At 34.3% G+C, this 15,079-nt stretch overlaps 1 annotated feature.

The window, feature by feature from the left end:
* Positions 3,112–3,747: an enhancer, noted in NCBI's record as "OCT4-NANOG hESC enhancer chr20:26141485-26142120 (GRCh37/hg19 assembly coordinates)". NCBI's record gives its function as "activates a minimal SCP1, AML or CMV promoter by ChIP-STARR-seq in primed H9 embryonic stem cells {active_cell/tissue: H9 hESC(primed)}" and the evidence as "EXISTENCE:reporter gene assay evidence [ECO:0000049][PMID:30033119]".

Raw genomic sequence — 15,079 nt, 5'->3', positions numbered from 1 at the left:
TAGTTGCATTAAAAAGTGAAAACTATTTTTCATTTCTAAATATGCTATTCTCTTCTAAGTAAATTAGGATAAAGTACTTTCTATTGAAAATCAAACTTACAAATCTGTTATCTTCAAACTTACTATGTACTTGTGAGTTTTTTATGTTAGGGACTACTTGAGTATAATGGGAGATCAATATAAAACCTCGTTTAAGAAACATTTTTCATCTAAAATCATGCCTAAGAGAAAGCTGAGGCAGTAGAAGTCATGAGCGTTCCTGATAAAATTCTTCTTTATGAGTAAAAAAAATTCAAGACAAATGTATTATGAATCTGATTTTTTTCATATTTCTACCAAAATAAAGAATGTTACATTATTAAGTCATGGGTGGTTTTCACTGAGAGTGTTAAATTGTGGAGAACTAGTTATTATCTCATAAGCCTTTTTGTCTGTGGTTACTGTTCAGTTACAATTGATGTCCTTAATGGCTGAAGAAACATCCATATCCACCATACCCGTCACATTCCAAGTAGCTGACTGTTGAATGCTTGGTGCATTAAGTAAGAGGCATCAGCCAAGAATTTTGAGAACATTAAAGGGCTGTTAGAGTAGAAAGAAAAAGGCTGAAAAAATATGGTTAGTGAGAAATGCTGTACAGTATCATCCTTTAAATTTGACAGAAAAGTTGACTTCATCGAGAGTAGAAGAGTGGTTACAGTGTCATTTTTAACATAAGTTGAATATGCACTTAATTTTTAGTATGAATGGTATATTCTCTGAATTTGTAGATAACGTTATTTTTATTTAATCAGTTTCTACAGCCTTTCACCTTTCTTATGATCCATTTTATTATAACTATCTATAAATGTTTATCACTTATTATCTTGTATATCTTCTTTTAAATTTTCTTACGTGGATCTCTTGGAGTGAAGCGACCAGATGGTAGACACTTTTTATGAGTAGCTGTGATATGGGAGTGCTGGGAAGGGAAGGGCATGATCCCTTTAAATGATACGGAAGTGGGGAAGGGAAGTGCTGGGTAAAGGAGGGCATGGTCCCTGGCTAGGGCTTCACCTGCCTTCTGCCCAAATGTTGCATTTCCTAAGACCACCCTTGAATGCTATGCCCCCATCCTGTATGTATAAAAATCTCTGAGACCCTAGCAGGCAGACACACAAGCGGATAGACATCCAGAGGATGTCAACAGGAGCACGCAGGTGGAAGATACCGGCAGGCCAGCAGGCCATCGGCCAGTAGAATGATGCAGAATTTGGCCAGAGCAGTTGGAGAAGCTCCACGGCCCCACATCAGGGAAAAACCATCTCCCTTCTGGCTCCCCCATCTGCTGAGAGACACTGCCACTAAATAAAACCTTGCACTCATTCTCCAAGCCCAGGTGTGAGCCAATTCTTCCAGTACATCAAGGCAAGAACCTGGGGTACAGAAAGCCCTCTGTCCTTGCAGCAAGGTAGGGCGTGTAATTGAGTTGGTTAACACAACCCTATAGATGGCAAAACTAAAAGAGCACCCTATAAACACTCACCCACTGGGGCTTCAGGAGCTGTAAACATTCACCCCTGGACACTGCTGTGGGGTCGGAGCCCTGCAGCCTGCCCATCTGTATCCTCCTCGAGAGGTTTGAGCAGCAGGGCACTGAAGAAGCAAGCCACTTCCCCTGTCACATGCCCTGCAAGAGGGACAAGGAAACCTTTCCCCTTTCAGGTGCTATCACATTACCTGTATAAGTAGTCATTCCACAAATGTAACTTGAGCTAAATTTAATAGATTTACTACGGAGATTAATTGGAATAAAAAAATGCTTCAAGTATAATCATTTCTTTTCCTCTGTTATCTGGGGCATAACCAAAAGTTAGAAGTTTAATACTAAAAAGATAATTCTCACACAAACCTAGGATAAACATATTTTAAGATTATATACAACTCATTAATGAGGGAACCAAAAAGAAGGTAAAACTGGTTTAAAATACATTTTGTGGAACTGGCATACAAAGATGATGTGGGGAGAAATGTTAAAATAAGACTGGTAGATAAAATACAGCTCTTGTTAACGGTCTATAAAACCATACGTTAATCTTTCATGTTTTCTTTTCTACAAAGAAATCTACAAGTTGGCATGTAAATTCATACAGTCAAAGTTACATACATATAATAATTGTTCTGTTGGTGTGTTTGTAAGCCAATGTTCAAGCTTTAATGTTCAAGTTTCAATGTTCAATGTTCAGCATTGAAAGTTACTTCCACACTGTCTTTGCTTTTTCTTTTGAAGTTTTTAATGATTTTTTTAAACAGAGTGAATAAACTCTTAAATAGGGCCTAATAAATATGTCTGCTTTTTCCCCAACTGTTTATATGGAAGAAATCTTAACTCCTTTATCCAAAAGAAAACAACTGCTATCATGTTTGTCTCTCTAGGCTGTGAATGGTAGACTTGAATCCCAAAATCTAAGGGCCAACCATAAACGGCAACCAGAATTTAAGAAGAATTAATGAATTCATTTTCTCAAGAATTTTGCAGAAGAGTCTCGGTAGAGGAATTAATAAGAAATTAGTCACTACAATATACACACATTGTTGAATAAAGAGTAATAGATTAGACCTATATAAGGAGACTGGAGAACAAAAACAAAAATGTCTTTACCAGAGCCTTGGAGTGGTGGGAGGGGAGAGGGAAACAAGGAGAAGCATATGAATACCAGCCATACTTGGATTGTTTTAATCTCATTCCAGTAGAATTGAATGACTGGTTTGCAAGAACATTGCTAAAGGTCAAAAGTATAGGCTGCTCCAAAGTAACCTCTGAATATCTAAAAGATGCTGTGTAAATCACGCCCTCCAACATGACTGTATTAATAAATATGTTTAAATGCATATGCACAGGCAAAGACATGGTGTCTTATTTGTTAATTACTTCAAGGCGTTAGGTCTTGGGTTCACTAAATTTTAAGACTTGATATTTTTATATATTACTGAATCTAAAAAGAAAAGCAAAAAGTACGAAAAAGCAAAATCATATTTTATAATGTAAAGTGAAAAAAGGGCATTATATCAAATTTGATGTATTGTGATACTAACATGTCACATCTAGTTTAGTCAGATGTCCTGTTAGGCTTCATTGCCTACATGCTACCATAACTAGAGGTGACAGTTTAGAACATTTTATGTGTTAGAAGACATAAATAGAAGTAAATTCTTTACAATATCAAGCAGGGAATTCTAAGTCAATTGGTCTGGGCTATCAAATACAAGTGAAAAAATTTCTAAGTGCACAAGAAAAAGGAAAAGTTTAGCTTCAAAAGTTGTGCTAGTGGGGTACTTTAATTATGCTATCAAATTATATTTGAAAGAGGACTGATTATTTCAATGCTGAAACATATACACACAAGGGCAAAAGATCATTTTTAAACACAGCAGGCTCCTCTACATCCTGCTACAGGATCCTACTTAAAATGCCAAATGCAGATTTCATTGTGATGTTGATACTCTCTTCCTTCCCCCAAGGCTTGCTTTTCAACTTTTCTTGCTTGCAATTTTTCATCCTATAGCGTTAAGTAAGCATTTAGAGGATTTCACTTGGGATAATTCATTCTTACAGTCAGACTCAGTTATGTGTGCAACAATGGCCTATCTATTCTGACATTATCAGAAATGAAGAAACGATTTTTTTTCTTTCAGCAGACGATAAGCGTCGTAAAATCTTTGTTTCAAACACCTTAAGATTCCCTATGTATTTCCTAGCTACTTTTAGCTTAAAGTCTTGTACTGTTTGGTGACTTGTTCAGCGTAAAAAGTATTTACATCCTACAGATTCAAATAAAAAATTGCCATAAATCATAGGCAAAAATCAGTGGTTAGATCATCTGTTAGAATATCTGCCAATGACAAGGTTTTTTCAATATCTAGATAGATTTTGTGTGTTAAAAATAAAATGCTACAACCCTTTTCTCTGGAGGGCAAATTTAAAAATAAATTTAACCTATTTATAGGGCATTAATTTAAAAATCAGTTACTTGTTTTACAAATGAGATGTGGAAGAACTACAGAATGTTAGAATTTAAGTTTTTTTTAAAGTATTGAGTCTATATCATTTTATTTATGTATTTTATATTGGGATGAATATACATTTAAACAGGGACAGGTAATTTTTTCTAAAATATAAATTCAAAAAATAAAAGTGAGAATCTCCAATGGTAGACATAATTTGAGCACACTGGTATCACAAGTTTTAATACCTAGCCTTATGATTTCTAAAGAATGTATTATTAAAAGAAATAAAGAAAATTATTATTTAAAAGATAGAGTAAACTTTGCTCCCCCAGGCTCACTTCCGATGTCCTTGATTTTTTTTATACTTCCTATTTGAGATAATTTCATCTTCTTATTTTCTGTTCACAATATCTTATGCTTCTAACTATGTTGCTAGCCATATTTCATCTATGTAAATAAATATCTAAAGATATCCAGTGACCTTTAGATTACTTCATTTTCATTGATAAGATCCTAATTCCCAGCCCCAAGTTCTTCCTTCAGACAATGTTGGGTCTAATTTTAAGAATTAGAGAGAGTAGAAGAATAAGAAAAAGACTTGGTGTTCGGGACAAGGGATACAAGTTATAGTGACACAGTTGAGAATATCAGAAAGTGTATAGAACTAAATTGGCCCCACAATAGTGGAGGGCCCTAATGTTTTAACAGCAATGACCCCTACATAGTAGAATTTCAGGTGACAATTTTATTTTCAGATTAATTGATTAGTTAGCTTGCCTTTATTGGATCATTTTACTATTCTGGCCTTGTATTACCTATAAAATATTGGCAAATTCATTTTTAAAAAAGACATTAAGAGATGACTGGGATTCCATATGATATTTGGAGTAGCAGTAAATTCCCCAATTAAACAATGACTACAAACTATTGGAAGCAAATCTAATGAAGTTCACTGTATCTACCTGGAATATATGGATTTGGGAAGAAAAGCTTAATCAAGCCATATAGACCTAAAATAAACAAAAATAAAGGCATTTGCAACTTTTTCTTTCGATAAGTTTTTTTCTACTAATTTTTCATGTGTCCCCAGCTTCGGCTTATTACTTGCCACTCTAGTCTTCTCTTTTTTTCATTATTCAAACTTAGTCAATCACATGTTTTTGTCTAATCAACTTACTATTTATTGATCTCCTAAAGAAGACATTCTTCATACATTAGAACCATGTTCTACTGTTTTTATCCTAGATTCATAGTACCTCTCACTTATTTTCATGTTCTAGGCAATGGGTAGCTTTCTTCTGCAGCTAAAATATTCTATGACACTATGATCAAGAGTGCCATGAACAAAAGTGAATGGACTCTTAATGATGAGAATGTGGGGTTCACTAAGTGTGTTGCATTCTATATGTAAAAATGTAAGTTTTGGAGTCAAGATTGGAATACAGATTTTAACACATATTACAATCTACTATGACAAACTAAAAGTAATTTGCCATTGCTTTTAGTGGCAAAACCACAATTGCTTTTGCACCATCCTAATACTTTCCATATATGATCTTAAATAGAAAAATATAACTAGAGACTTACTCATATTTAAAATGAAGATAAATAATATTAATGATAGTCTTATTTTATCTAATGAGATAATATGTAAAAGTTTTTAGCACAGTGTTTGAAATATAGTAAATTTTCAATAAACATATTCTCATTACTAGTTAGTATTTTATACTGTAGGTGTATATTTTTGGAAAGAGTATGCAATAAATGTTTAGCAGTTCTTTTTGCCAATTTTCTTTGATGGAATAATGTTTTTAAGTTTGAATCAATGTGGTTTAGGTGAACCTGATAAATCTGCAAATTCTAGAAGTTGTCCATGACCCAGTTCTGACTAGTGTATTCTAACTGGATGGTTGTAATTAATTTGTCCAGATATGAACATGTGACCCAATCTAGATGTAAAATTAAATCCTAGCTATTCCCTAGATGAGAGAATTAAAATTCTGACCACTTCATTTTATTTCCTGACTCTAAAACTAGCTATAATTCTAGACTTTTTAGTTATACACAATTGTGTTTGAGAGCTATCTCATATCAACTCATGAGATCCAACTATTAAATTTTTAGAAATATTCTGAGGTCCTTTTTAGACACAGAAATTATTAAAAATAAACTTTTTAATTTATAATTAAATTATATTAAAAATAAGGAAAACAAATTACTTAAATTCATCATTTCCTAAGTATTTCGCTATATTTTGCTGTGATTTATGCTACCAAAAATATTTACATAGATGATGTTTGTATCGTGGCAACACTATATAATGGCAAGCTAATGTGCATCTCTCCAACTTCCTATTAATGGCCTCAGGTTGTAGCTTGTAATTCAGTCATGAAGAGAGTATTTACAGCATGAAAATTAACACCGCGTATCAGGGTTCGATTTAGTATTTTGTTAATTGTGTAGAATAAAAATAATTAATAAAAGTAAAAATAAAGAATGAATAAAAGTATGTTAATAATGCAAATTTTTTTTAAATTATGTCTGTAACCATTACATTATGAACTGCCCCAACATACACAGACATATTATCCTTGTATTAAAAAATTATGATTCTCAGAAGAGTGTATCATTGGTGAACAAGTAAAGGTTTTAATTTCACTTTAACCACTAACGTATATAAAAATAGTAACCAATATTCATATTGAAACTCTATTTATTTGCTAATTGCAGTCAGTTATCTATGGATTTAAGAGTTTGGCAAAAATTAACAAAAACTCCCCCTGAAAAGGGAACTAATATTTTATTACTTGTCCGTTATATGCTATGCATCTTCATATTAGTAAAACATAAAAAAAAGTTTCATATACAACTTTTTTGAGAGATAATTTTTTTTTTTTTTTCTGAGATGGAGTCTCGCTCTGTCGCCCAGGCTGGAGTGCAGTGGTGCAGTCTCAGCTCACTGCAAGCTCCGCCTCCCAGGTTCACGCCATTCTCCTGCCCCAGCCTCCTGAGTAGCTGGGACTGCAGGTGCCCGCCACCATGCCCGGCTAATTTTTTTGTGTGTTTTTAGTAGAGACAGGGTTTCACCGAGTTAGCCAGCATGGTCTCGATCTCCTGACCTCGTGATCCACCTGCCTCGCCCTCCCAAAATGCTGGGATTACAGGCATGAGTCATCACGCCCGGCCAGATTCTGAAATTTTAGAGAAGCTACAAGCCTAGTCAACAAAAAGCTATTATTGCTCAACCTCTAAGGCAAATTCTGTGATGTGAATCTCAAGTTGTTACTTACTAAAGTATGACATTTATCAGAAAGACAACTTTTCTCAATACCTTTCTAAAATATGATCAACATTAAAAAAATAAAAACCAAGACCCATCTATCTGATGTCTTCAAGAGACCCATCTCACATGTAATGGCATCCATAAGCTCTAAGTAAAGGGTTGGAGAAAAATCTACCACACACATGGAAAATATAAAAGTGCAGGAGTCACTAATCCTACATCAGAAAAAACAGACTTCAAACAATAACAGTAAAAAAGAGCAAAGAAAGGCATTACATAATGATAAAGGGTTCAATTCAACAAGAAGACTAAGCTGTCTTAATTATATTTGCACCCAATATTGGAGCACCCATATTCATAAAACACATACTTCTAGATCTACAAGGAGCCCTAGACAGCCCACACAGTAATTGTGGGGAACTTCAACAACTCACCAACAGTATTAGACAAATCATCAAGGCAGAAAATTAACAAAGAAATTCTGGACTTAAGCTTGACATTTGGTAGCTGGACCTAACAGACATCTAAAGAATTTTCCATTCATCAACGACAAAGTACACATTTTTCTCATCTGTATATAGAACATATTTCAAGATGGACCACATGCTCAGCCATAAAGCAAGTCTCAATAAACCAAAAAAAAAATAGAAATCATACCAACCACATTCTCAGAACACAGAGGAAAAAATATAAATCAATGCCAAGAAGATACCTTAAAATCACAAAGTTGCAAGGAAATTAAACAACTTGCCCCTGAATAACTTTCAGGCAAACAACAAAATATAGGCAGAAGTGAAAAACATTCTTTGAAATAAGTGAAGAGAGACAAAACATATTAAAATTTCTGGGATATGATGAAAGCAGTGTGAAGAGGAAAGTTTATAGCTAAACACCTACCTCAAAAATTTAGGAAGATTGCAAACTAATGATCTAACATCACATCTAGAGGAACTAGAAAAAGAATAACAAGCTAACTCCAAAGCTAGCAGAAGAGAAGTAGTAACTAAAATCATTGTGGAGTTGAATGAAATTGAGACCCCAAAACCCATACAAAAAATTAACAAAACCAAAAGTTTATTTTTTGAAAATATAAGCAGGATTGTTAGACCACTAGCTAGATGAACAGAACAGAGGGAAGGTCTAATTATGCACAAACAGAAATGAGAGGTGACATTACAACCAATCACACAGAAATACAAGATCCTCAGAAACTATTATAAGCACCTCTATGCACACAAACTAGAAAATCTAGAAGAAATAAATTCCTGAGAACATGCAATCTTCCAGGATTGAATGGGAAAGATATTGAAACACTGAACAGACCAATATTGAGTTCTGAAATTGAATCAGTGATTAAAAAAAAAAAAAACTACTAATCAAAACAACTCTGGACCAACTGGATTCACAGCCAAATTCTACCAGACGTATGTAGAAGAGTTGTTACAAATTCTACTGAAATTATTTCAAAAAATTAAGAAGAAAGGACTCCCCCACAAGTCATTTTACAAAGCCAGCATCACTCTAATACCAATGCCTGGCAAAGACACAACAATGAAGAAAACTACAGGCCAATATCTCTGATTAATAGAGATGCAAAAATCTTCAACAAATTACTAGGAAACCAAATTCAATAGCACATCAGTTAATTCACCAAGATCAAGTAGGCTTCATTCCTGGGATGCAAGGTTGGTTCAACATGTGGGATTTAATAAATGTGATTTACCACATAAACAGAATTTAAAACAAAAAAACATATGACCATCTCAAGAGATGCAGAAAATATTTCAACAAAATCCAACATCTGTTCATGATAAAAATTCTCAAGACACTAGATATTAAAGGAACATGCTCCCTAATAACAGCCATCTATGACAAACCCATGACTGACATCATACTGAACAGGCAAAAACTGGAAGCATTCCCTTAAGAGCTGGAACAAAATATGGATGGCCACTCTCACTGCTCCTATTCAACATAGATTGGAAAGTGCTAGCCAGAGGAATCAGCAAGAGAAAAAAAAAAAGGACATCCAAATAGAAAAAGAAGTCAAACTATCTCTCTTCACCTGATATTATCCCACACCTAAAGACTCCTACGAAAGGCTCCCGGAACTGATAAATTATTTCAGGAAAGCTTCAGGATACAAATCCAATGTACAAAAATCAGTCACATTTGTGTACCCCAATAACGTTCAAGCTAAGATTGAAAACAATAACATAATCTCATTTAAAATAGTTACAAAAATTAAAATACCTAGAAATACATCTAACCAAGGAGGCAAAAGATCTCTAAGAAGAAAACTATAAAACACTGGTAAAGGAACTCATAGATGACACAAATGCAAAATTATTCCATGCTCATGAATTGGAAGAATCAATATTGTTAAAATGACCATACTGTCCAAAGCAATCTACACATGCAATGCTATCCCTACGAAACTATGCATACCATTTTCCACAGAATTAGAAAAAAAAAAACTATTCTAAAATTCATTTGGAGCCCCTAAAAGCCTGAGCAGTCAAAGCAGTTCTATGAAGAAAGAACAAAAGATAAATATCTAATATCCAAATTGTAGTTGTAGGCAAGCCATGGCATTTTGCCTATGCCCTTTCCTTTTTACTCCGTAGTAGGTTTTACAATTGCAAATGTCTCACGTGTGTGCATACATATCTGTGTATGTGTGTGCATGAGTGTGTGTAAACTAAGAAAGCCCTTTTAGTCCACATTACCTGGGAGCAATTAATAGTCATATGATAAATAAAAATAAGTATAAAAATAAAAATTACCTTTACAGAAGCTAAAAATCAACATAGTAAAAATCAACACTCTTAATATTCATGTGGAGAAATGTGGAGACACACCCTCTATTTCCATAAGATGTTCAAACAATGTTTGAGTTAAGCTTCTCGAATTCTCAATAGTTTATACAGATGTCAGTTCATAAGCAGTGCACATAGAACACGGAGACTAGTATAATTCCTGAAGGGTTAATTTACAAGTGGATGGATTAGGGTTGGGGTAGAGATACCAGAAAGGATAGCGAAGTAATCTGTCACTTCCTAGCAGCCATTTCCTTACCACAAGGACATCTGAAGGAGAAGGTGCATTACTCAAAATCAGGAGTAAAACATCCTGTACAGTCTGTGCTTTGTTCGAATCAGTGGTTAAAGATGTAGCTACTTACAGGGAAGAAGCAAGATGAATTAGCATGCTGGTCTAACTCTTCATCCTTCGCAGCTCCTGTTAAGGGTTCACCATGAGCTGAGGCCATTTATAAGTCAAAGGACCCAGAAGACGTAATGTATGTTAAAAAAGGTAATGGGAAAAAGTGGCACATGAATTTAAAGGAGCAAATGAGGTATCTTTCACAGTTTAGAAACATTAGTTTCATAGGGATAATTTTTCAAACACATACATGAGATTGTGTCTCTAAAATGCTTAGGACAATGTCTGGCTTGCACAAAAGAGGTTCTAAAGAATTATTAGGTTTGGCCGGGCGCGGTGGCTCCCACCTGTAATCCCAGCATTTTGGGAGGCCGAGGCTGGCGGATCACCGGAGGTCCGGAGCTTGAGACTAGCCTGACCAACACGGAGAAACCCCGTCTCTACTAAAAATACAAAATTGGTCGGGAGTGGTGGCGCGTACCTATAATCCCAGCTACTCGGGAGGCTGAGGCAGGAGAATCGCTTGAATCCAGGAGGCAGAGGTTGCAGTGAGCCAATATCGTGCCATTGCACTCCAGGCTGGGCAAGAAGAGCAAAACTCCGCCAAAAAAAAAAAAAAAAAAATTACTAGATTCATTCTTCTTCCTATATTTGCAAAATTTTCCAGCAAGAATGAGTAAATAGAAGAATCGAGGCCCCTTTTCTCTCAGAAGAAAGCATTTACTATGTTAAAGGAACACAAACTGCATGCTAATGATACATCATTACATAAATATTTGACAATATTTGCTCCTTTATGAAGTAATTGGCATCAAGATTTAAGCTATCAAATACATTTACTATGTGCCATTTTGTATAAAACATATTTATATTGCTTTGAAATGAGCAGAAATTTGCAATGATACTGTCCTTGAGTGGAGATGTTGTGCTCATATTACTTTAATTTGGTCTGATAATTGTGGGTAGCAAAATCTAATGGTTGTGGGACACAAACCCTGTTAACATTGCTAACTGAGGTATGCATTCAACTATTTTTGTATATACTTAATAGTTTTTGATGCTTCCTGGTGTACCTCTTGCTGTGGATTTCAAGCCAGTGTCAAAGATCTTGTTTGTATATACATATATTGAGGAGATATAGCAAAGTAAATAGTTTCTACTGGAATCCATCTCATTGATTTCACACCCTGATAGGCAGCAGTTGTTCCAGGATCTCTGCTAAAACTCCTCATATCTAATAGCACTGCAAATAAGAGAATGGACTTTATTCACGCCAAAGTCAAACAGAATCCTCTAAAAATTTAAGGGAATAATGGTTTTAATGCAAATATTTCTTTTTTGATTTCTAAAATATAGCTTTATAAATTTATTGAAAAAATATATATGGTCTACTCTTGATACCTTGAAGAAAAATCTGTCCTGAATTTTGGTACCTTTTTTTCTCTAGACATAAATGAAAAAGGATTTTAGAAGACTACTTTACCAGAACTGTTAACTTCTAGCATCTTTCAGTTGCATGTGAGTTGGGGAAAGAGAAGAGGAAAGAGATAAGGTATTAGATGGACATAACATCGCTGGCCAAGGACAATTTCATTGAAAATATCTGTTCAGCTCAAAGCAATATAAATCTATTTTATACAAAATGCTATACAGCAAATATATTCAATAGCTTCGATCTTGATGACAATTATTTCATAAAGGAAAAATATTTCAAACATTTATGCAATGATATATTGTCAACGTGCAACAAGCCCATGCCAAATACGTATTTCATTGTTTTCATTATCAACAATAATTCTTTAAATCTCCTCTTGTTCTAAGCTGCCACTTAATTTGTCAGCAGAATTTTCTAGAAAGGTGTTAGAGATCAAGAATGTTTTTTAAAATGCTGACAATAGAGGAAAAAGACATTATTAGGAAAGAACAGAGAGACAGTGGTAATAACCAATTTTAACATTTTTTCAGAATACAAAAGTAAAACTAAAAAATGATAGTAGATTCACGTTATGACATGTGAAAAAAAGTATGCTTAGGAAGAAGTGTTTCTATTTTTTGTTTTGTCTACCTACTGGCAGCCTCCTCTGTCTGCTGTAAAATGCTGCTAGGAAAAGATGTTGTAGAGAACTTACAGATAATTGTATAATTTTATATCTCATTTTAAAAAGTATGGCAATGACCAATAGATGTATACTAATTAAGGTAATATGCATGGATCAAATTGAGCACCCCAGATTTCAAAAGATATTCAAAATAATTTACCTATGTGTATCTTGATTCTGGTAGAGGCTGGCTGTAGACTTGGTGGTCAGTGAGTAATTACATCATAGTAAAAATCATGTGGGTTCAATTAAATATTATTTCCTTAAGAATATAACAGTATGCCTCAAATATGTATGAAATATATTTCTACTCTGATACGTAAAAACCCAATTTTCTAATATATTGTGTACAAGAAACATGACGGTTTGATGTTGCAAACCATAGTTGGGTGGTCTGTTAGATTTTACAACAAACATACTGCTCTGTAGGATCATAGAGGAATGTGTGGGAATCAGATGAGAGTGATGAAGTGAATATATTGGCAACCTGGAGGTTTGAAAAAGACATCTGAGCATTTCTTGTAATTCTTTATATTTCCACACTATATAGCAAAGGCAGAACTAAGCGCAGAAAAAAAATGGTAATAAGGCAAAAAGGAGAAAACACGATATCCTTTCATTGTCTAGTATGATTTTTTGCATGATCCATGGAATAAAAATACAAAAAAACTTTCATAAGCAATATAATCTAACTTGCTTATAAACAAAAAAAGCTGTCTTGATCATTAATATCATGTTTAATCTAAAATAATTTTCATTTAGGGAATTTTATAGATTCTTTGAAGTATCAAAATATATCTGTACATAATTATAGCACCAATTATATGAGTTGCAGAGGTAAATTCTGCTTGAGCAAACATAAGAGCATATGTTTTCTCTTTTTTTTTTGCTTCAGAGACATTTTTTCTTTTTAGAATAAAACTCTCTTCAACCAGAAAAATACATTTCAATATGGTTTTTAATTTAAAAATAAGTCATGTGGTTTTTCATGATTAGTCCCTGATTTGAAAGCTTAGACATTTGGGAAAAAATAAATATTGTTCAGTCAACACAGTATTTTCTTCTTTAAATCTTTTATTCACATGTCTTTGAGGGTTTAAAATTTCGCATCTTTAATATTCTTTTTTAAATTAATACCCCTTTTAACACCTAGAACTCATTGCCTAGTGAATTCCTTAATGTAGTCTCCAATGCATAATACATAGCTAAGCTTCCTTTGGACAGGTAATATCTCCTTTTTGATTGATTAAAAGGAAGTAATAAGGTATTAGTAAAACACTAATTGAAATATAAATATTTTAGATTATTAGATAACCATCATAAAAATTATTCATACATGAAATTGAAACCATTTCATTGCACGTATTTTACTGATTACAGAATTTGTAATGCATATTCTACCCTGTGAAGAATAAAAATACTATCTTTCCAGAGTATCAACTGTCATTGAGAATTTTATAGAATATGCTGCCTGGGAAGAAGTAGAACCACCTGACATTGTTAAACATTAGCAAAGACAAATAACAGCTTGTGCCGATGCAAATTGCCTGGAAGTTTGTTGATATAGATGAACACGGACAGATGGTTTTCTGTAAGCAGTATCATCATTGGTTTTCTACTTAACAGAAATGAAGGACCTCATATTTATGATGACATATTAGAAATCATGAGAATGAAGTTGCTCATTTTTCTTCTAATACTTTTCTCTATCAAGTAGAGACACTACTAGGAGAGTGCCTAGTGAGTACTTACACACAGTGTAAAGTTATCCATTCTGTTTAGGTGATCTTGCCCATAATCATGGTCCAATATAGTATTCCACTCTTGCAGTAAAGAGTGGTTATCCATCGATTTTAAACGTTCTAAGTCTATATCCTTATTGAAAGATGCAGACAGAAGAGGGAATTGTTTGAAGTTTATGTGTGTAGAGTAGGAAAAAGTAGCACATGTTTGCATCTTACTTAGAGTTGTCTGAGTGGTCATAAAATCAAACCACCTGTTTAGAGATAAGACGTACTTAGTGGTAACAGAAACCAGTAAGACAGAACACATCTTCAATGACCCCAGAAGAAGATGCATAAAGAGCTATCACAAAAGGTTAAAACTAAAGGAGAGAAGAGGAATCAGTGAAACAGGAAGATGTGTACAGTGATAGTTCTGAGAAACGTTCTTTTATCCTAAAATGGCTTGTTTGTTTTTGTTTATTTTTTTGAGATGGAGTCTGGCTCTGTCGCCCTGCTGGACTGCAAGCTCTGCCTCCCGGTTTCACACCATTCTCCTGACTCAGCCTCCCGAGTAGCTGGGACAACAGGCTCCCGCCACTATGCCAGGCTAAATTTTTTATATTTTTAGTAGAGACGCAGTTTCACCGTGTTAGCCAGGATGGTCTTGATCTCCTGACCTCGTGATCCGCCCGCCTCGGCCTCCAAAGTGCTGGGATTACAGGCGTGAGCCACCGCGCCCGGCCCCTAAAATGGCTTTTAAGTGTTTTCTTGAATGAAAACACCAGATATATTCAACAGCAATATTAACACAAAAAGACTTG

Source organism: Homo sapiens, chromosome 20 (genome assembly GCF_000001405.40).
Source record: "Homo sapiens chromosome 20, GRCh38.p14 Primary Assembly".
NCBI classification, from domain to species: domain Eukaryota; kingdom Metazoa; phylum Chordata; class Mammalia; order Primates; family Hominidae; genus Homo; species Homo sapiens.
The sequence above is the reverse complement of the archived record's forward strand: the minus strand, read 5'-3'. Positions and strand labels throughout refer to the sequence as shown.